General features: G+C 36.5%; 1 protein-coding gene across 2 annotated transcripts in view; it reads left to right on the top strand.

Annotated features, from left to right (window-relative positions):
* VWA8 (von Willebrand factor A domain containing 8) overlaps positions 1-23510 on the top strand; it is a 394275-nt gene that overhangs the window by 112588 nt on the left and 258177 nt on the right. For both annotated transcript variants that reach the window (NM_015058.2, NM_001009814.2), the window contains exons 13-14: positions 14991-15151; positions 17880-17993. In NM_015058.2, coding sequence (NP_055873.1) covers positions 14991-15151; positions 17880-17993 — 275 coding nt within the window. The remainder of the gene's footprint in view (positions 1-14990; positions 15152-17879; positions 17994-23510) is intronic.

Here is a 23510-nt window from a genome sequence, read left to right as displayed (position 1 = left end):
ATCACAAGAACAGCATAGGGGAAACCACCCCCATGATCCAGTCATCTCCACCTGGTTCCGCCCATGACACATGGGGATTATGGGGATTATAATTCGAGGTGAGATTTGGGTGGGGACACAGCCAAGCCATATTACCCTGAGAGTTCAACCAGCACATTTCTTTAATCTTAGCAAGCCTTTTTCTATGTTGCTTCAAGTGAGAGGCTCCTCATTTGTTTTTAGTAACTCTCCCTGAATCCATTGGATTCTTTTCTGTTTCCCAGCTAGTGAACAAATGTTTGGCTTCCTGCTGCACAGTGTCTTCCATGGAGTAGCAATTCAGAAAAGGCAGCTTTAGTTTTGTGAGGAAGGTGCCAAAAGGGATGCATTGTCAATCAAAAGAGTTGTCAAGTACTGGAACATGGCACATTTCTTAGCCTTCTCCCCATCACCCTCACCCCTCATAGCCAGTTGTCAATATTCCATCATTTGTTTTTTGCAGGATCTACTGTAACCATGAACATTTCCAAAAATTCTAACCCACTATCCTTGGGCCCATTATTGAGCCTTTGGTGGAAAATGCATTTGGCATATGGAGTTTTACTTTATAGAGTTTTTAAGAACTCATCAGTTTTGTCATTTGAACATTTGTAGATATGTAGTTAGAGTATGTTGCATTCCATATTCTATTCACTAAAGTTGTAGAGTGATCTCTTAAGAATGTAAATCAGATCTTTTCATTTCCCTGATTAGAATCTGTCAATGGCCTCCCATCATACTTAGAATAAAATAAAGACACTTTACCCTGGCATATGAGTCTTCCATTAACGAGGTTACCCATTAGAACCACTCAAGGATCTTTGAAAAACTTCCAGTGTCCAGGCTCTACCACCAGAGAGTCTAAAGTAATTGGTGGGAGGTGGGACCAGTATTTTTCAATTATAACCAGCAGCCAGGGTTGAGAACCACTGCGCTATGTGACCCAATCCATGCCTACCTCTTCAGCCTTCTCCCTTCCTGCTGGACCCTCTACTGATATGTTTCAGTCTCACTGGGTACTTTTAATCCCTTAAATCTGTCTGGCTTCTTTCTGCTATGGGGCATTTTCACAGGCTGTGTCATCAGACTGGAATATTCTTGCCTGATCTTCACGTGGCCTCTTGACTTTGAAATCTCAACTTAAATATCTGTAGAGAAAGCGTTTTTGATGCACTGAGTCATTTGCCATCATACTATCTGATATTTTCTGTGTAGTACCAACTACTATGTGGTATTTTCTTATTTGTGTCCTTCTATTCCTTTCTTCTCCTCCTGTCTCCTTTCCTTTATCTATTTTTGTTCATTCCCACTGGAGTGTAAGATCCATGTTTATTTTTTTCACTACTGAATTCTCAGCACCTGAAACAGTGATTTGCAAGCAGTAGGCTGGTTCTCTCTCTTTCTCTCTTCATATATATATTCAATATATATTTGAATGAATAAATTGTGGAAATTTTAGATTATTTAATTAATTTTTTGAGACATAATCTTGCTGTGTCATCCAGGCTGGAGTGCAGTGGCATGATCTCGGCTCACTGCAACCTCTGCCTGCAGAGTTCAAGCAATTCTGCTTCAGCCTCCCGAGTAGCTGGGATTACAGGTGTGCACCACCACACCTGGCTAATTTTTAGTAGAGATGGGGTTTCACCATGTTGGCCGGGCTGGTCTTGAACTCCTGGCCTCAGGTGATCCGCCTACCTTGGCCTCCCAAAGTGCTGGGATTACAGGCGTGAGCCACCGTGCCTAGCCTGAAAATTTTAGATTATTTTTAAATGACCTCTGTTGTCAGCTTTTCTTTACTATTTTTACCTGCTTTAATATTAACTTTATTTTAAATTCTAAGATAGGAATTTTCTGTCATTTAATTGTGTGCAGCATTGTCATATCACTTCTATTACTGTCCTGAATTGTGAACTGAGACTTATTGTTATATTAAAATTTGAACATATTTATAGTTTGTTTCTTCACTTGATTCAGATTCAGCTGTCATTTATTAAATAACCATTAGGTGCCAGGCATTATCTCATTTAATTCTAAAGATATTTTACTCATTTCACTCATTTATCACATAATAAGGAAGTTGCAGAAGTGGAATTGAATCCCAGCCTTCCTCACTTTGTAGCCATCCTTTCACATGTGTTACCCCTCATGTGGCTGACTAACAGGGATTTGAGTGGTGTTGAGGGTGGTCAAATGCAGTATCTGCTCCAGGTGTCTTTATTGAATACCAAACGGGTAATTCATAATTACACCAATCTTGATTTCATATTTTGTTACTTGCTTTTAGAAACTAATTTATTATAAGCTGAGCACAGTGGCACACACCTGTATTCCCACCTACTTGGGCGGATGGATCACTAGAGCTCAGGAATTCAACACTGTGGTACACTATTAGTGCTTATGAATAGTTAGCCAGGACAATGTAGGGAGACCTGTCTCTTAAAAAAAAAAAAAAGAACTAAAAAGCTTATTATGAGGCAAATATTATTGCAGATATTTAATTTATTTTTAATTCCAACTTTTATTTTAGATTCAGGAAGTACGTGTGCAGGTTTGTTACATGAGTATATTGTGTTATGCTGTTGGTTTGGGGTATGAATGGTCGTATCACCCAGGTAGCATAGTACCCAACAGTTATTTTTCAGCCCTCACCCTTCACTTCTTCCCTCCCACTCAGTAGTCCCCATTGTCTATTGTTCCCATCTCTATGTCAGTGTGTACTCAATGTTTAGATCCCACTTGAGTGGGTGAGAACATGAGTGAGTGAGAACAAGTGGTATCTGGTTTTCTGTTTCTACGTTAGTTTGCTTATAATGTCTTCCAGCTCCATCCATGTTGCTGCAGAGGATGTGATTTCATTCTATTTTATGGCTGCATATTATTTAATGGTGTATATGTATTACATTTTCTTTATCCAATTCACCATTGATGTGCATCTAGTTTGCTTCCATGTCTTTGCTGTTGTGAATAGTACTGCAGTAAACATACATGTGCATGTGTCTTTTTGGTGGAACTATTTATTTTCCTTTGGGCATATACCCAGTAATAGGATTGCTGGGTCGAATGAAGATAGTTCTAAGTTCTTTGAGAAATCTTCAAACTGCTTTCCACAGTGGCTGAACTAACATTCCCACAAACAGTGTGTAAGTGTTCCCTTTTTTCCACAATCTCGCCAGCATTTGTTATTTTTTGACTTTTTCATAATAGCCATTCTAACTGATGTGAGAGGTAATAGGCATTCTAACTGATGTGAGAGGGTATCTCATTGTTTTGATTGGCATTTCTCTAATGATTAGTGATGTTGAGCATTTTTTCGTATGTTTTTTGGCCACTTGTATGTCTTCTGAGAAGTATCTTTTCATGAAGTCATGTAATGTGATGCCTCTGGCTTTGTTCTTTTTGCTTAGGATTGCTGTGGCTATTTGGGCCTTTTTTGGTTCCATATGAATTTTAAAATAATTTTTTCTATTTGTGTGGCAAATGACATTGAGAGTTTGATAGGAATAGCATTGAATCTGTAAATTGCTTTGGGCAGTATGGTCATTTTAACAATATTTATTCTTCTAATCCATGAGCATGCAATGTTTTTCCGTTAGTTTTTGTCATCCGTGATTTTTTTCAGCAGTGTTTTATAGTTCTCCTTGTAGAGATCTTTCACCTCCTTTTTTACATGTATTCCTAGGTATTTTATTTAACTTTTTTTTTTTGGCAGCTATTGTAAATAGGAATGTGTTCCTGACACATTCAGCTTGAATGTATTGGTGTATACATTAGATGTTGAATGTTATCGGTGTATCCATTCAATGTTGAATGTTACTGGTATGTAGGAATGCTACTGATTTTTGTTCATTGGTTTTGTATACTGAAATTTTACTGACATCTGTTCTAGCAGCATTTTGAGGGAGTCTGTGGGGTTTTCTAGGTATAGAATCATATCATGTGGGAAGAGAAATAGTTTGATTTCCTATCTTCCTATTTGGATGCCTTTTATTTCTTTGTCTTGCCTGATTGCTCTGGCTAGGACTTCTAGTACTATGTTGCATAGGAGTTATGAGAGTGGGCATCCTTGTCTTGTTCAGTTGTTAAGGGGAATGCTTCCAGCTTTTGCCCATTCAGTGTGATGTTGCCTGTGGGTTTGTCATAGCTGGCTCTTATTATATTATTTTGATGTATGTTCCTTCAGTGCCTAGGTTGTTGAGGGTTTTTATCTTAAATGGATGTTGGATTTTATCGGAAGCTTTTTCTGTGTCTACTGAGATGATCAAAATGGCTTTTGCTTTTAATTCTGTTTATGTGGTGATCATATTTATTGATTTGCATATGTTGAATCAACTCTGTGTCCCAGGAATAAAGCCTGCCTGACCATGGTGAATTAACTTTTATTTGCTACTGGATATGTTTTGCTAGTATTTTGTTGAGGATTTTTGTGTCCATGTTCCTCAAGGGTATTGGCCTATATTTAACTTTCTTTGTTATGTCTTTGCCAGATTTTGGTATCAGAATGATGCTAGCTTTGTAGAACGAGTTAGAGAGGAGTCCTTATTCCTCAGTTGTGTTGAATAGTTTCAGTAGAATTGGTACCAGCTCTTTTTTGATGTCTGGTAGAATTCAGCTGTGAATCCATCTCGTCCAGGGTTGTGTTTTTTTGGTAAGTTTTTTATTACTGATTCAATTTCAGAACTTGATATTGGTCTGTTTCGGGTTTCAGTTTCTTCCCAATTCAGTCTTGGGAGGTTGTGTGTTTCCAGGAATTTATCCATTTCCTCTAGATTTTCTAGTTGTGTGCAGAGAGGTGTTCATAGTAGGCATTGATTGATGATCTGTATTTCTGTAGGATCGGTTGTAATGTTACCTTTGTCATTTCTGATTGTGCTGATTTGGATCTTCTCCCTTTTTTTATTAATTTCGCTAGTGGTCTATCTTGTTTATCCTTTCAGATAACCAAATTTTGGGTTAGTTGATCCTTTGTATGGATTTTTCAGTCTCAGTTTTATTCAGTTGTGCTCTGATTTTAGTTATTTCTTTTCTTCTGCTAGCTTTGGAGTTAGGTTATTCTTGTTTTTCTAGTTCCTCTAGCCGTGATGTTAGATTAGATTGTTGATTTGAAGTTTTTCTAACTTCTTGATTTAAGTGTTTAGCTTATTGCAGATACTTAAACTAGAATTTATTGCTACTTTCACACCTGTTTTTCTAAGGGAGTCTAACATTTGTGATAAAATGCAACAAAGTTTGTAGTACTATTTGAATAAAATATGATTCTTTAGTTTGTATATGCTGGGGTTTTAGTCTATTGCATCTCTGCTTCTTGCCTTGTGAAACTCTTCTTGTCCTTCTTAATGTACTTAGTTGTCAACATTTTCTTTACAATCTTTAACAAGTTGATTTACTTTTTAAATATCATCATCCTTAAGTTCTGGCTTTCTGGTAAACAATAGTACTCAGTCTCTAAAATGAAAAGATATTATTTACAGAGTGTTAGCTAATTTACAAAATTTCTGGGAGAAACAGGGAATGCAATTTACATTTTACCCAGTAAGGAATGGTAGTACCAGGAGGAATTTAGCCATTGATGCCCTAGAAGAGCAGTTTTCTTTGTGCTGGCTGCTCCCTTACTCCCATTGTTGACTGCCATTTTCCCAGTCTCTTGTACATGAGAATGCTTGGTGGAACCTGGTTCATGAATAGAACTCTAGCTGCACAGACTTTAAGAAATGATGTTTCTAGTTTTCTAGCCTTTGTAGTATAGGAAGGATAAAATGAGGGTATTTGGTTGTGTATCTTGATGGAGTACATAACTGTATTATCTGCACCTATACTGACCTTACATTTATATTTAATTTTGCATCTTTATTAAGATGTCCTTTAGTTGAATCAGTTGTTAGCAACATAGTGGGTTTGACTTCTGGTTATCTTCAATGAGAGAAATTTATTCTGTGTTCATAGTATAAATCTTTAACTAAAGCAGATCATCTTGAAATAGATTCCAGTGCTTACCACACATACAACTGCAAAATCAACTTTTCCCCATTGACAGCAGAGTAACTGAAATCAACATAGTAGGCTTGTAATGTCAACATCGCATCCTGTACATAAAAGGGAGTTAATTTTATGTGCTACAGGTTAAAAATAGTTCTTTAAAAGAGGAACTTGAGGGAGAAGGATGGAAGAGTTTACAAATAATTTTACAATATATGTAAAATGAGAGGCCTTTTTGAGATCAAACATAAATGACACTGAGGAATGTTGGCAGCATGCCTGCGTTCTGTTCACTGAGCATGCTTAGATTCCAGAAATAATGGCTTCATTTCTATTTCAGGACCTAAAAATTATTAACATTGTATGTTTATACAATATTTATGTAGCATTCTGCTGCCACTAATAGGTGTGGGCATAGTTAATACTGTATTACAAAGTCAATGGCTTATTCTTGGTATATTCTTTTATTCACATAATCCCAGATTTTCTTCTTGTTTATACTACTGGTATGGTATTTTCCTGGTATAATAAGTATTGCTTAATAAGTAAAACTCATTTGAGGTAGACCTGGAAAGCCTACAGAAATTCAGCTAGTTTCCTTTGGAAAACAAAATCATTATTAGTGCTTATTTACCCCAATTGAAAAAATATTAAATGTCTACTGTTTTTATATATATATATATATATATATATATATATATATATATTTTTTTTTTTTTTTTTTTTTTTTTTTTTTTTTTTTTGAGACAGAGTCTCGCTCTGTCGCCCAGGGTGGAGTGCAGTGGCGCGATCTCGGCTCACTGCAAGCTCCGCCTCCTTGGTTCACGCCATTCTCCTGCCTCCCCTCCCGAGTAGCTGGGACTACAGGCGCCCGCCACCACACCCGGCTAATTTTTTGTATTTTTAGTAGAGACGGGGTTTCACCGTGTTAGCCAGGATGGTCTCGATCTCCTGACCTCGTGATCCACCTGCCTCGGCCTCCCAAAGTGCTGGGATTACAGGCGTGAGCCACCGCACCCGGCCTACTGTTTATATTTTTAATTCAGAAATGAGAATGAAGAATCATATCTACTTAGAGATGTACTTACTTTTAACTAAAGCATTTTTATTTCAATCTTTTTTATATGTTTTGAAATAAATTTTAAAACAACAATAAAGACTAGCTGTATTTGGGGTCTGTTTGGGGAGTGGTTAGCATCATAGTCACACTTTTTAACTCTTCTCAAAGAAGATGATTGAGACTTATTAGAAGTTAATTTGTGAAGCTAGCCTGAGAGGTGTGTTATTGGTATATTCCTATATTAACTGCAATCTATTCATGGGTTCATTAATCCAATCCAGCTCTTTCCTTATGGGAATTTCTTTTAGTGAAATTTATTGCTGTGTTCATTGTCATAATATACTTGAGGACAATCTGGCTCCTCTGCCTGCTAGCTGTGTGTCCTTGATTGGGTAAACTGTTTGACCTTCTCATACCTCAGTTTTCTTCTCTGTAAAATGAAGAACATAATTGTACATGGCTCTTCAGGTTATAAGGATTACATGAGTTAACATATGCAAAGTACCTGGCACTTGTTAGGCTTTCCATAAGGATTAGCTGTAATAATTATTATTACTTCTATTTTTAACTCTTTAACATGTTGTTCTCTATAGGATGACCTGACCCATGAAACAAATTTTTCTCAATTTTATTATCAAGAATTGTGGTGCTGCTTCTGATTTGGTGTTGATGTTGTGATCATCATGACTTATGTACCTTTTTTTTTTTTTTGAGACGGTCTCACTTTGTCACCCAGGCTAGAGTGCGGTGGTGCAATCTTGGCTCACTGCAGCCTCCACCTCCTGGCCTCAAGTGATCCTTGTGCCTCAGCTCCCCAAGTAGCTGGGACTACAGGTGTGCACCACCATATCTGGCAAATTTTTTGTAGTTTTTGTAGCGATGGGGTTTTGCCTTGTTGCCCAGGCTGGTCTTGAACTCCTGAGCTCAAGCAATCAGCCCACCTTAGCTTCCCAAAGTGCTAGAATTACAAGCATGAGCTACCACCTGTAACTTTTTTTTTTTTAATACTTTAAGTTCTGGGATACATGTGCAGAACGTGCAGGTTTGTTACATAGGTATACATGTACCATGGTGGTTTGCTGCACCCATCAACCAACCCGTCACCTACGTTAGGTATTTTTCCTAATGCTATCCCTCCTCTAGCCCCGCCATCCCCAGACAGGCCCCAGTGTGTGATGTTCTCCTCCCTGTGTCCATGTGGTCTCATTCAACTCCCCCTTGTGACTGAGAACATGCAGTATTTGGGATACAAAGTCAATGTGCAAAAATCACAAGCATTCCAACACACCAATAATAGACAAACAGCCAAAACATGAGTGAACTCCCATTCACAATTGCTACAAAGATAATAAAATACTTAGGAATACAACTTACAAAGGATGTGAAGGACCTCTTCAAGGAGAGCTACAAACCACTGCTCAAGGAAATCAGAGAGGACATAAGCAAATGGGAAAACATTCCATGCTCATGGATAGGAAAAATCAATATCATGAAAATGGCCATACTGCCCAAAGTAATTTATACATTCAATGCTATCCCCATCAAGCTACCATTGTCTTTCTTCACAGAATTAGAAAAAACTACTTTAAATTTCATGTGGAACCAAAAAAGAGCCCGTATAGCCAAGACAATTCTAAGGAAAAAGAACAAAGCTGGAGGCATCATGCTACCTGACTTCAAACTGTACTACAAGTCTACAGTAACCAAAACAGAGATATAGACCAATGGAACAGAACAGATGCCTCAGATGTAACACCACACATGTACAACCATCTGATCTTTGACAAACCTGACAAAAACAAACAATAGGGAAAGGATTCCCTATTTAATAAATGGTGCTAGGAAAACTAGAAACTAAAACCCTAGAAGAAAACCTCAGTAATACCATTCAGGACATAGGCATGGGCAAAGACTTCATGACTAAAACACCAAAAGGAATGGCAACAAAAGCCAAAATTGACAAATGGGATCTAATTAAACTAAAGAGCTTCTGCACAGCAAAAGAAACTATCATCAGAGTGAGCAGCCAACCTACAAAATGGGAGAAAATTTTTGCAATCTATCCATCTGACAAAGATCTAATATCCAGAATCTACAAGGAACTTAAACAAATTTACAAGAAAAAACCCCATCAAACAGTGGGCGAAGGATATGAACAGTCACTTTTCAAAAGAAGACATTTATGCAGCCAACAGACATATGAAAAAAAGCTCATCATCACCGGTCATTACAGAAATGCAAATCAAAACCACAATGAGATACTATCTCATGCCAGTTAGAATGGTGATCATTAAAAAGTCAGGAAACAACAGATGCTGGAGAGGATGTGGAGAAATGGGAATGCTTTAACACTGTTGGTGGGAGTGTAAATTAGTTCAACCATTGTGGAAGACAGTGTGGCAATTCCTCAAGGATCTAGTACCAGAAATACCATTTGACCCAGCAATCCCATTACTCAGTATATAACCAAAGGATTATAAATCATTCTACTATAAAGACACATGCGCACATATATTTATTGCAGCACTATTCACAATAGCAAAGACTTGGAAGCAACCCAAATGCCCATCAATGATAGACTGGATAAAGAAAATTTGTCACAAAAACACCATGGAATACTCTGCAGCCATAAGAAAGGATGAGTTCATGTCCTTTGCAGGGACATGGATGAAGCTGGAAACCATCATTCTCAGCAAACTAATACAGGAACACCTGTAACTTTTTTTTAGTGTCACTCTTTATGTTGGATATTAGATTAGATTCAAATTTTAGACTGTTCAGATATATTTTGCATATTATTTTTTCCTTAGTTTCATCTTTCCTTGTTTAGTTTTCCTTGTCCACTTATGTTTAATTTTATAATACATTATATTAAGCATATTTTTGCAACTCAACTTAAATACTTTCTGAAACTGTTGGGTTTATATATGTGGTAGAAATGCGTATTTTTTAAACCTGGTTGAAGTCATACTCTATATGTACTTTGATATTCTACTTTTGCTACAAGCAATTTAATTTCCTATAAGACAGTTATATGTGCATTATAATGTAAAATTTTACTTTAGTATCAGTAAGAGAGGTAGCTCAAATTTCTTTACACACTAACAATGTACTATAATATTTTCAGATTTTTTTCTGAATGACATTATGCCTTGGAAAAATAATTCTAATGATATTCTAGATACTGTACACACAACCACTTTGTACAGTTATTTTATTGAGTATTGACTGTATCTGGATTTCTCAAGGGAATTCTCAAAAAAATTAGCTTAGATCATTTAAAGGTACTAAAAACATTTAAAGCATATCATTGCTTTAAGGCTCAAATTTATGTTCTCTGATCCATTTCTTGAGTTGTGCTTCTCATTTTAACAGGATGTTTTTATTTTCAGTAGAGTTTCTCAGTTACAAATCAAAAGAACATAATTCCAATTGACATGGAATCGTAAGAGATACATGGATGTTTTCCAGGGATCTGAATGAAAGTGAGGTGTTCAAGGTTAGACAGTGGTAGACCTAAAGGAATTAAATTTCATGTCCTGTTATTTTAAAAATGTTAAGGAAATGCAGAAAGAGGAAGTGGATCAGGCTCTATGATATCATTAGTGCTATTTTTATTCTCTTAAGTTCAAGAGTTTCAGGATAAGAAAAATATATGCAAAAATAAGGATGTTGATTTTTCTTGATTTTTATTAGGGTGTTTCCCAAATGCCCGTATGGAATAAGCACACTTTTAAAAAGAAATTTGCATTTCTGCTTACTAATAGCAATGTGCATGTAGATGGGAAGAATGAGGAAATGATATATATTTTTCACAACTCCATGATGCAGTGTCTGTTAAAGATATTAAAACAATAATTTCATGGTACTACAAACCAAATATTCTATAGACAGAAACCATTGAAAGTGATGTTACTTTGGTTTAAACATTAGCTTATTACCTGAAATTAGTTCATATCACTTCCCCATTCAGCCTATGCTGAAAAGTTTTATTAATTAGATTTGATTAGATTCAGTTGTTCTGTGAAAGTTTAGTTTTGCTTTGGTGTCCTTGCACTTTCACACAATTGAAAATACCTTCTGATAATAACTAATATTGGGGAAAGTAGGGCCAACTATCTCTTTAAGGAAAAGCTGAAATGTTTGTCTTTCAATAGAAGTTGTTAATTATGAAAACCAATAGCTTATATTAAAGGGAGTGCTTTTCTTTCTCTTAGGAAGGTTTTTATTTTGATGCAAAGGTTTATTAGAAATTGGCAGTGGCTCATACCTGTAATCTTGCCACTTTGGGAGGCTGAAGTGTGAGGATTGCTGGAGGCCAGGAGTTCAAGACCAGACTGGACAACAGAGTGAGAACTTGTCTCTACAAAATATTTTTTAAAAATCTCTATCTATCTATCTATCTATCTATCTATCTATCTATCTATCTATCATCTATCTGCACGTGTGTGTTTATTAAAAATGAAGAATGGCTCTTTCTAATATGATGGTATACAGAGTTTAGGTGATAAAATTTAACTGAGCTAGTCTTCTAAGAAATATCAAGTATTTCCCATGTTCTATCCCTCCGAAGATTGAAAAGAGGAAGAACATTTCTGGTCTATAGCTTTGGTTGGCATTTATAGCGGTGAGCTATATTGATCTGCTGCTGCATATTGTGTAGCAAAAAATAATCATTCATTTTACTTTAGCAAATGTAAGCGAGTCTCCAACTACTAGATTGTAAAAGAAGAGCCCTATGTACTAGTTGTCTTTTTCATCATCTCTGTTAGTATAAATGTTTACTTACTTGAATAAGGTAAGTACTGTACACATCCTGTGAATTAATAAGATAAAAAATACTTTGGAATCATAACCAAATGAAATAGTGCTTTTTTATATCATGCACAGAATGGTGATTCAGATATGTTGGTATAAGAATGAGGAATTCTTTCTATTGAAATTAAAAAAAAAATGTTACCAGTTTTTAGCTTCAGCTTTTTAGGAGTCTGAGCCTCTTATGTCTGCTGAAGTCACGACATTCCTCATCTTTTCCTGGGCCCAAGCAAAAGACTCCTAACCTTAATTGGGCCAGGATATCAGCTGTTTTCAGTCTGAAGCTGTGATTTTCAAAATTAACATCCATCAGTTTCTTTGAAAGTATGATATTAGTTGAATGCCTTCATCCTGCCATCTCCTCTCTGAATTCCAATAGGAATGCTTAAAATAGACAAAGCCTACTCTTTTTTTCTCTTATTTTTAACTTTACTTTTAATTTATGTTATTTTGTTGTGCATTTTGTATATCTTTTGCAATCTCACATCATATTAGAACAAGGAAGGGTATAGATAAGTGAATTTTAATTTAATATCTTTTTAAGCAGTGTTTCCCACGTGGGAGGCATATCAGAATCATCTATGTAATGTTTAATAAAAAACAGATGGTAGGCCCCATGTTGGCCCTGATGAATCAGAATCTTCAGGATAGTGGAGCTTAAGTTTATATATGTTTCAAAAGTTCCCCACCTGTTTCTGATAATGTATCTTTAATTTTGAACCACTGCGCTAAACTGTGTTTTCTGTTTCTTTTTTTACTTTTCCAAGGTAATGTGTGATGTAACTCTATGGCAAATATTTTTCTGGAATGATTCATACCAGGAGTTTTCTTTAAATTTATCTGTTTTTATATTTACTTTAAAAAATTCTGTGTGTTTGTATGTATTTGTATACATACATATATATACAGACACATATATATTTATATGCACATGTATATGCATATGTAATATTTGATTTTTTTTCATAGTTTGACTATAAAAATGACCCACAGACACTTATTTTGATTTTGTCCTGTTCTAGAGAGCGATCCCTTTGGTGTTCTGTAGCATAAGCATGAGTGGGAATGAATCTTTTGCTTGGGCCCAGGAAAAATGAGGAATGTCGTGACTGTCTCAGTAAACACGGATGATGGTGATCAATTTAGTCTTGGTTGTTATAACTGTCATTGGCATCAAGAGAGTGATATTGCTCATATAATTTGCATATAATTTAGAATTCATAGTTGAAGAATTAAATAAAGTTATTTAAAAAGAACAAATTTTGACAATGTGTCAAAACCAGCCTTTTAAGTTTATGGGAAGTTGCTGAGTTTGAATGTTACTGTTTTTCAAAGGTCTTTATGATTCAAAATGAGCCTATTCATACTTCCTAAGTCAGTACTTTCTCTTTTTAAAATTTCCAACTTTTATTTTGAGTTCAGAGGTACATGTGCAGGATGTGCAGGTTTGTTACATGGGTAAACGTGTGCCATGGTGGTTTGCTGCATAGATCATCCCATCACCCAGGTATTAAGCCCATCATCCATTAGCTGTTCTTCCTGATGCTATCCCTCCTCCCTCCTCTCACCCTCTGACAGGCCCCAGTGTGTGTTGTTCCCCACCATGTGTGCATGTGTTCTCATCATTCAACTTCCACTTATAAGTGAGAACACGTGGTATTTGGTTTTCTGTTCCTGGGTTAGTTTGCTAAGAATAATGGCCTCTAGCTGCATCCATGTCCCTGCAAAGGACATGATCTAGTTCCTTTTTATGGCTGCATAGTATTCCACGGTGTGTATGTACCACATTTTCTTTATCCAGTCTATCATTGATGGGCATTTAGGTTGATTCCATGTCTTTGCTCTTGTGAACAGTGCTGCAGTGAACATACGCATGTATGTATCTTTATAATAGAATGATTTATATCCCTTGGGGTATATACTCAGTAATGGGATTGCTGGCTTGAATGGTATTTCTGCCTCTAGGTCTTTGAGGAATTGCCACACTGTCTTCCACAATGGTTGAACTAATTTACACTCCCAACAGTGTAAAAATGTTCCTGTTTCTACAGAACCTTGCCAGCATCTGTTATTTTTTTGAATTTTTAGTAATAGCCATTTAGTCAGTACTTTCTTGATAGTGAGAAGATTGAAACAATTAAGACTTAAATTTTAATCTTGGTTTCAATACAGATTCATTGCCATTATGAATATAAAGCAAATTCATTAGTTTTCTATCTGCTGAAAGTTGGGAGTGTGTAGCCAAGAATTTACAGAAGACTTTAAATATTTGGATAAAAATGACTGTAAATGTGTTTAACTTTTCTTTGCTATAAGTCGCACAAAATGTATCTGAAGGTGATAGAAAAGAAACTATCCACATTAGCACATGTAAGAAAAAATTGTTCATATTATATAGCTCCAGTTTTTTACAGTAGATAAACTTTTATATGCCACAACTATTAATAGTTTGCTTAAGTCTGTTACACTATTTTATTGTTAGCACATTGTGTGTGTGCTTTTAAAAATTGCTTTTAAGTGCTATGCTATTGTTTCCCAATTCCTGTACCTCATCTGATGACTGTCCTCTTCAATTTCCTCCATTATCAAGCCTCTTTAAATAAAATGAGTCATTGTGATGGTCCTAGCATAGCTTTTCAGGAAAACTCATCAACTGCTAGAAAATGCACATTATTGATAAACATCTCTGCATGTTGAGTTTGCATGATCTCTCATTTTAAAATTGAGTCAACACATGGATGGTTAGGTCACCATAAAAGTTGGCATATGAAAACACAGGAATAGAGCTGATTGAGTTAAATTCTGTTATTCAGGTGGAAATTACTGCCATTATGTAAACGAACATTTTAAAAGCGGAAGAAAATGCTAAATATAAAGTAGGGAAAAAAACCTCTCACTCTTACTATATTATGTAATGAGTAATGGAAAAAAATCCTAAAATGACCAAAAAAAAGCTTTCTGAAGAGCTTTCGTTTTAGGAATTGGAGAAGATGACTTCTCTGTTACTATATGGAATGTTAAGTTCAGACGGAGGTGACTCTATAAAGCCATGTAAGCTACCTTGCATGTCTTAAAAATTAATTCGTCATGTTCTTTGTTGGGTGGTGGGGATTTGTTTTAGGATATGACAGCGCGTGATCTGCTACAGCAGAGATACACCCTTCCAAATGGAGACACTGCCTGGCGGTCCTCACCCCTTGTGAATGCTGCTCTGGAAGGCAAGCTGGTCCTGCTGGATGGCATTCACCGGGTGAATGCGGGCACGCTTGCTGTATTGCAAAGGTGGGTATGAGTCACAAAAATCACACACAGACACACACCCCACTCTGACTTAAGCAGTAAAGATGGAACTATCTCATTCTTTTTCTTTTTTTTAAACTGGGTTGTGTAGATCCTGAAAAATCATGATTCTATACCAAGTAGAATGGCACTTTTTTATTGTTATAAACACAATGCAGTAAAACTCCAAATAATGAACATTTTGGGAAAAGCCACTCCTGTAGCAGAATTCCGTGTGTAGGCACTGCAAAAAGAAAGTGCTTCAGTAGTAAGTTTGAAAAACTTTATATATACAGGTCTATATATGCAGCATGTCACATTGCTGAAGTTTCTATAATTTGTCAGAGTCACAGCTTCAGTATTTACACACTCCTTATCAATCATAGATCTTAATTATTGGTTGGTCTTGTTGGAATCTTTTTTTTTTGAGAGAGAGAAAAGTAGTTTTGTTTGTAAAATATATAATAGCTTTAAATTATATTTTATATAGACTAAAAAAGCTCACTTTGTTAATTATAAACTTGAACATTTCTATAACTATTGTTTTCTTATTTTGGTTTAGTTGGGAAAAATTTCCACACATTCCTAAAACTTCTCTAGAATTTAATGTTAAGAGAAGGCTCTTCGTGTGTAACTTTTGTAGAAAATATTCCCATCTTGTATCATTTTAGGAGATTAATGATACTGATATTTTCTGTTTATTTTGGTTCTCTAACTTGTAGACATTTGATTTTTAACTGTGACTCATTAGGAAAGGTTAAATAAGTAGAATAAGCCATTATCCAACTAACCACTTAGAGTTTTTTTTTTCTTGATGTGATGCAGATACTGAATGTAATTAAAAATTCTAAATACGTTATGTTAATCCTGATTAGATTTTAGAACATTTAAAAATAGTCACAAACTTTCAGTGATTTACCATAAACGTTCCATAGATTTACAATATTTTTTTCTCCCAGACCACTGCAGACACGGTAATAGTCCCATTTTATTAGCTATCTCTTGCATGTTTGCAAGTAGTAATAATAGAAGCAGCTACTACCATTAATTGAGTACCTACTCTGTGCATTGTGCTAAGCCAGTGCTTCTCAGGTTCTCAACCTTGGAATCACCTTGCAGGGTGGCAATTAAAAAATACTGATGCCGGCCAGGTGTAGTGGCTCACGCCTATCATCCCAGTGCTTTGGGAGGCCGAGGTGGGCAGATCACGAGGTCAAGAGATTGAGATCATCCTGGCTAAGATGGTGAAACCTTTTCTCTACTAAAAATACAAAAATGGACTGGGAGTGGTGGCATGTGCCTGTAGTCCCAGCTACTCAGGAGGCTGAGGCAGGAGAATTGCTTGAACCCGGGAGGTGGAGGTTGCAGTGAGCCGAGATGGCGCCACTGCACTCCAGCCTGGTGACAGAGCGAGACTCTGTCTCAAAAAAAAAGAAAAAAAAAATGCTGATGCGGGCCAGGTGCAGTAGCTCACACCTGTAGTCCCAGCATTTTGGGAGACCGAGGTGGGCGGATCACCTGAGGTCAGAAGTTTGAGACCAGCCTCGTCAACATGGTGAAACCCCGTCTCTATTAAAAGTACAAAAATTATCTGGGCATGGAGGCATGCACCTGTAATCCCAGCTACTCAGGAGGCTAAGGCAGGAGAATAGCTTGAACCCAGGAGGCGGAGGTTGCAGTGAGCCTAGATCGCGCCACTGCACTGCAGCCTGGGTGACGAGAGGGAGACTCTGTCTCAAAAAAAAAAAAAAAAAAAAAAACTCATGCCTGGGCTTCACCATCAGAATTTTCTGATATAATTGGTCTAGGCCAAGGTCTGAACATTGGCATTTTTAAACACTTCCCAGAAGATTCTAACGTACAGTCAAGATTGAGAACAGCTATAAGCATCCATTTTACATTAGCTGTTTAGTTTTCACATTAATATTGTGAAGTTGTGACTGTTGCCTTAACGTTATGGAAGACGAGAGTTTAGAGAGATAGAGTCGTTCTCCCTCTCCCCACTCATTCAGCTAGTAAGGTGCACAGCTGGAGTTGAACCCAGGTCTGATTGGTTCCACCGGCCATGCTCCTATCCCCTGCATTACACAGCATCCCCTCCCTTCAGTGCTTATAGAATGGAGGCTATGTAGGCTAACTCTATTGTGGGCATTAGGAGACTTAGGGGTTGGTGTGAGATATAGAACAGTGCTTTTCAGCCATTGCAACATCTGGAAGACTATGCTATGTGTGATGTGGATGGTTAGGTCACCTTCAGAGTTGCCATATGTAGAGCAATGTAGTTATTTCATTATAAGATTTTTGTATTTTTAAATCTTGTAATTCCAAAGATAGAAATATTTTTATGCCAACCCTTACAGAGTTACTTTAGACCGAAGAGAGTAAGTGCCACCTGCCTTGTTTATTAATATGTACCTTGTGGTTATCTTGAGATACTCATTCAGCTGTTTCTTTTGCTCTCCTTCCTCCTCCTCTTTTCTTTTTTCCTCCTCCTCCCCCTCTTTCATATCCCTATCAAATATTTATGACTACTGCCCTCCAGTACAGAAACCAACAGTTTTGCGAAGTGTAACAGCAGTAGCCAATTTGAAATTTTGAAAGGTCCATCTAACAAAATTATTAGACTCAATTGCCAGCAATAATAGACTGTTGGCTGACTGATTCTGCCTCTGAAAACTTCAGTGTTCAAAACACATTAATTTATTTTCGGGCTTTTTTCTTATCTTGTTAGGTTAATCCATGATCGAGAGCTAAGCCTCTATGATGGTTCTAGGCTGCTGAGAGAAGACAGGTATATGCGTTTAAAGGAGGAGCTGCAACTGTCTGATGAACAGCTACAGAAGAGGTAATTTGGGGTCCATTACTCCCATTGCTAATTTATTGTTAAGTTAAAAATAATACTTTTTATGATTTTTCTAAACCTAGAATAATGCCAAGATAACTTTGAACAATTTAATAATTTGGTGTCCTGGATATGCCACTACTTTGGCATTTCTTAAAACTTGAGGTTGCTCTCCAAGGTGTAATCTGTACTCTCAGCCTTACTTTTTTTTTTTAAAAAAAAAAACCTAATCAACTGTTTTATTTGCTTTTTTGTTGTTAATATGACAGTGATTTTTTTTTTTTTTTTTGAGACAGAGTCTCGCTCTGTCACCCAGGCTGGAGTGCGGTGGCGCAATCTCGGCTCATTGCAAGCTCCGCCTCCCAGGTCCATGCCATTCTCCTGCCTCAGCCTCCCAAGTAGCCAGGAACACAGGCGCCCGCCACTACACCCAGCTAATTTTTTGTATTTTTTAGTAGAGACAGGGTTTCACCTTGTTAGCCAGGATGGTCTCGATCTCCTGACCTCGTGATCCGCCCGCCTTGGCCTCCCAAAGTGCTGGGATTACAGGCGTGAGCCACTGTGCCCGGCCGACAGTGATTTTTTTAAAAAAATTTTTTATTTCAATAGTTTTTGGGGCACAGATGGTTTGTGGTTACAGGGATAAGTTCTTTAGTGGCGATTTCTGAGATTTTGGTATACCTGTCACCTGAGCAGTGTACCTGATATGTAGTCTTTTATCCCTCACCGCCCCCCACAAGCTTCCCTGCCCCTGAGTTCCAAAAGTCCATTATATCATTCTTATGCTTTGTGTCCTCATAGCTTAGCTCCCACTTGTAAGTGATGACATGCAATATTTGGTTTTCCATTCCTGAGTTACTTCACTTAGAATAATGGCCTCCAGCTCCATCCAAGTTGCTGCAAAAGATATTATTTCATTCCTTTTTATGGCTGAGTAGTATTCCATGGTGTGTGTGTGTGTGCATGTGTGTGTGTGTGTGTGTGTGTGTGTGTGTGTGTGTATCACATTTCCTTTATCCACTCGTTGGTTATAGGCACTTAGGTTGGTTCCATATCTTTGCAATTGTGAATTCTGTTGCTATAAACATGAATGTGCATGTATCTTTTTCATATAATGACATCTTTTTTTGGGGGTAGATACCCAGTAGTGGGATTGCTGGATCAAACAGTAGTTCTACTTTTAGTTCTTTAAGGACTCTCCATACTGTTTTCCATAGTGGTTATACTAATTTACATTGCCACCAGCAGTGTAAAAGTGTTACTTTTTCACCACATGCATGCCAACATGTATTATTTTTTGACTTTTTAATTATGGCCATTCTTGCAGGAGTAAGGTGGTATCTCATTGTGGTTTTTCTTTTCAGCCTTACTTTTAAATAAGCATTTAAATGTTTTATAAGAACATTGGTTTTAAGAAGGTAATCTTTCCTCTGTTGCCCTGTCAATTCAGTTTTGATCTCATATTTTGTATTCTCTCAACAAAACTAAAGCTGGGCCCACAATTAACTGGGCTCATCCTCCAAGGAGGTCATCAGTATTGTTGGAGTATGCCATCTGATATCGGATTACCCATTGTAGCTTATTTAAACATTTCTTGTGGAGATGTAACAACCAAATGCAATGGTGAGACTTGACTGAATCCTGGAGGAGGAAACAAAATAAAAACGGCTATAAAAAAATTAGAAAAGTTTAAATATGGACTATGTTATATGATATTATTGAATTACTAATTTCCTTAAGTATGATAATGATATTGTGGTTATGAAGGAGAATATTCCTATTCTTATGAGATGCATGTTGAGATACTTAAGGGATAAAGTAAAAAAAAGTCTACAACTTCCAAATATTTCAGAAAAAAAGACATGTATGTGTGTGTGTATAAACAGACATTTTCTCTCTCTTTCTCAGAGTGAGAACACAAATGTGGTAAAATCTTAACAGTTAGCAATATCTAGGTGAATGATATATGGATATTTGTAGTCTATTTTTGACATTTTCTGTGAGTTAAAAAAATTTCAAAACAAAAAGTTTGAAGGAAAATACTTCTTTCAGCTGCATACTATATAGAATGAAGTTTGACAAATATGTTATTTTCTATCTTGCTACATTTCCATGGATATTTTAACAGAATTAGAGATTGGCATACAGAGGAACTCCTCATCACTTAATCTCTCTGTTTAATTGAAGCTGTATCACCACTCAAAGGGTTTACTGCCCTATTTAAAACATTTAAATCCCGTAAAAGATAATTAAGTGTATTTATTATTGTTTATATTTTAAGAAGAAATTTGTTAAAAAATTTCTTGGAATTTTTTCCAAGAGGGGAAATGTTAAATTCCTTCCTGTCTCTTTACAAGTCACTAAAAAGTCACTTGATTACACAGCTGCTTTTACTTCCGAGGTATACATTATCAAATTCTTTTAGACTGGTAAATGGTTGGTTGAGTGTTTAGGGAGGCAAGTTAGAGATCCTTCGCATATCATAACTTTGGTTAATAGCAGTCGGCTTTGGCACATTATTTGCATGTGAATCACGGGTCATGGAACAGTTTATATTTTCAGAAGGATGAATCAAAGCAATTTTGCAATAGTTCACAGCATGCCTGCCTGGCAGTTTCTCTTAGGACATCAGAAGCATTCTACTTGTCTCCAAATGTCAAGGAAATGACAACCCTTTTCTATGAAAAGTACCCAAGTTCTCTAATGGTCACAGGCAGTTTTACAAATGAAAATACTTTCAGGAATTTGGCTCAGAGTGGTTAATAGTACTTTCTTCTCAAAGTTTTCCACCTTCATCACTATGGATTTATGTCACTCTCATAAATACAAACTAGGCTTAGCTCTATTTCCAGAGGTCACTGGGAGAAAGTGGAGAGAGATCATAGCAATGCTTTCTTTCCTTCACTTACTTTTTAAAAATTTTCATTTGAAATTTTACCACTGTTAAACATGCACGAAACTAGAGCCAGATAGTTTTTCAAAGTATTTTATGAAAAATACCATCCCCTGTCATAGATTGATCAGTTGACAGTCTCCCATTTCCCACATCTTACTCCCCAGAGGCTACTACTTTCAAACTTCAGGTTTTTCTTTTGGTATTTACTTCTATGTCACTAAACAGTATACTTTCATTGATATTTGATTTATTTTTAGTGTTAGGAATAATCTGTTGATTTCTACATGGAAAATTAATGTTTAGCTCTTTCACCACCTCTTGTCTCATTACACATGCACACTTCTATCCCTTATTCTTCCTAAAGAGTTATATAATAATTTTGTTTAGAACTTTATTCAATGCTTACATTATTATGATAACCTAAGAGCTGTACCCACTTAAGCAGTTTACTATACAACACTCATTTTCCTTTCTTGCATATATCTTGTTTTTTCCTCAAGTTAATAATTACTTACATATGAAGAGAGACAGATATGTAAATAAGTAATTACAATGTAATTTTAAATGTTAGACTAAAGGTCTGTATAATACTGTATGGGAGCATTGAGGAGAAAGTGACTGTTTCTATGTATATATTGCCTTATTTTTAATCCCAAACACTTCCCTTACTGTCTAAATCTCCCCTCAGTACATTCAGGCACACATGATATTTATCAATTCCATCTTCTATCAATTTCTTTTTTTCTTTTTTTATCTTTTTTTGAGATAGGGTCTTGTTCTAGCAACCAGACTGGAGTGCAGTGGCACAATCTCGGCTCACTGCAGCCTTGAACTCCTGAGCTCAAACCATCCTCCCGCCTTAGCCTCCCGAGTAGCTGAGACTACAGTTGCGCATCGCCACACCCGTTTTGTTTTGTTTTTCCCATTTTTTTTTGGAGCAGTCTCACTGTGTTGCTGAGGCATGTCTTAAACTGCTGGCCTCAAGGGATCCTCCTGCCTTGGCCTCCCAAAGTGCTGGCAATATAGGTGTGAGCCACCACTCCTGGCCCTTCTGTCAGTTTCATGTTTCTCCCATGGTATATTCTGATGAACTCTAATCTGGGCTTGTGGCTCTTTATTCTTGTAGCTCCTACATCATCTTAGATCTCTCCACTCCCACTTACTCAGTTTCCTCTGGTCTTTTTTCTTGTACCTTTTATTATTTAGATGTATGTTGAGCCTCCTGGGCTGAACTTCTAATTTTATTTTATTTTCTCTATTATGTTCTGTCAGGATCTTGGTCTGTCCTTAACTTTTCAGAGGTGAGATGTCCTAACAATGATTCTTCTTTGTTGTCTGAATATTTCTAACAGTTGAAAGCCTAATCCCTTTCCTTATCTGTAATTTTTCTTTTTACCTGAGAACCACACCATTTTCTTAATTTTGTTGTTAAACACAGTCATGTTACAGAATCTGCTTCACTCTGATAGTATGGATTGTTGGTAAATTTTTTTACCTTTACTTAGCCTTAATTTAATGTTGTAACTTATTTTTGTCTTTCTGAAAATAAATATGTTCTTTTTTAGGGTTATAATAGGTTAGATTCTTCTCTTAAGCTGCTTGGCAGTACTTCTTTCAGGACTGTGTTTATTGAGTAGAAGACTGACAGCTTGACTAAAAAGACACAGCACAGTGTAAAAGCAGCAAATTTGTACTGAATGAGGAAATTACTTTATTTCATGAGTTGTTCTTATAAGTAATATGACCCATTATCTAGCATGTGTTGATCCTATATGCTGGTCATAGCTAATACATCACTTTTGGCAGTAGCATTTGAACTCCACATTAGAAACTTATGACCCACATTGTCTGTCCTTTCATTTCTGTACTTAATCACAGAACTGAATTTTAGCAAAGTGATTATTTCTAATAGTCTTTAAAGAAACTCAGCTTTTATTTTATTTACTTATATTAAGCTTTTTTGTGGAAGATTTTGAGAGAGAGAAAAAGGTCAAAGGTAGAAAGACAGGGAAGGTTTTTGTTTTGCTTTTTTAAGAGGAAGAGTTCTGGAGGCTGGGGATGGTCGATGCTCGGGGGGTATCACTTGCAGCTGCCTAACAGAAAGAACAGCTTCTACAGTCTTGTACAAATAAATAAATCTACCTCCAGGGAATCAGTACTCCTAGGACAACTTCTACTAATTTGTAGAATAATGCCTCCTGAGAGTTGGCTTTAAAGCTCTTGTTCCAACTGTAGCAATTGGATGGTGTTTTTGAACATGAATGTTATAACGGTAATCCATGGAGTCATTCACTCTCTAGGCTCCCAGAATAGTACCCAGATGATCCTATCTATAGACTGATGATTGGAGATAACTGATTTGGCGAGTATAAGTATTTGTTATTGAGTGTTAGCATTACTTCATTCTTTCCTTCAGGTTAAATGTTTATTGAGGGCCAGCTCTAAGATGACACACTTGTTGCCATCTGTGGTGTACCACACATGAAGACAGATATGTAAATAAATAAACACAATGCAGTTTTTTAGTGTTAGACTGCAGGTCTGTATAAAATGCTGTGGGAACACAGAAGATGAATTGACTAGTAACTGTGCCTTGAGAGGTTGGAAAAGGTTTCAGATATTGT

This window comes from Homo sapiens, chromosome 13 (assembly GCF_000001405.40).
Source record: "Homo sapiens chromosome 13, GRCh38.p14 Primary Assembly".
Lineage (NCBI taxonomy): Eukaryota > Metazoa > Chordata > Mammalia > Primates > Hominidae > Homo > Homo sapiens.
The sequence above is the reverse complement of the archived record's forward strand: the minus strand, read 5'-3'. Positions and strand labels throughout refer to the sequence as shown.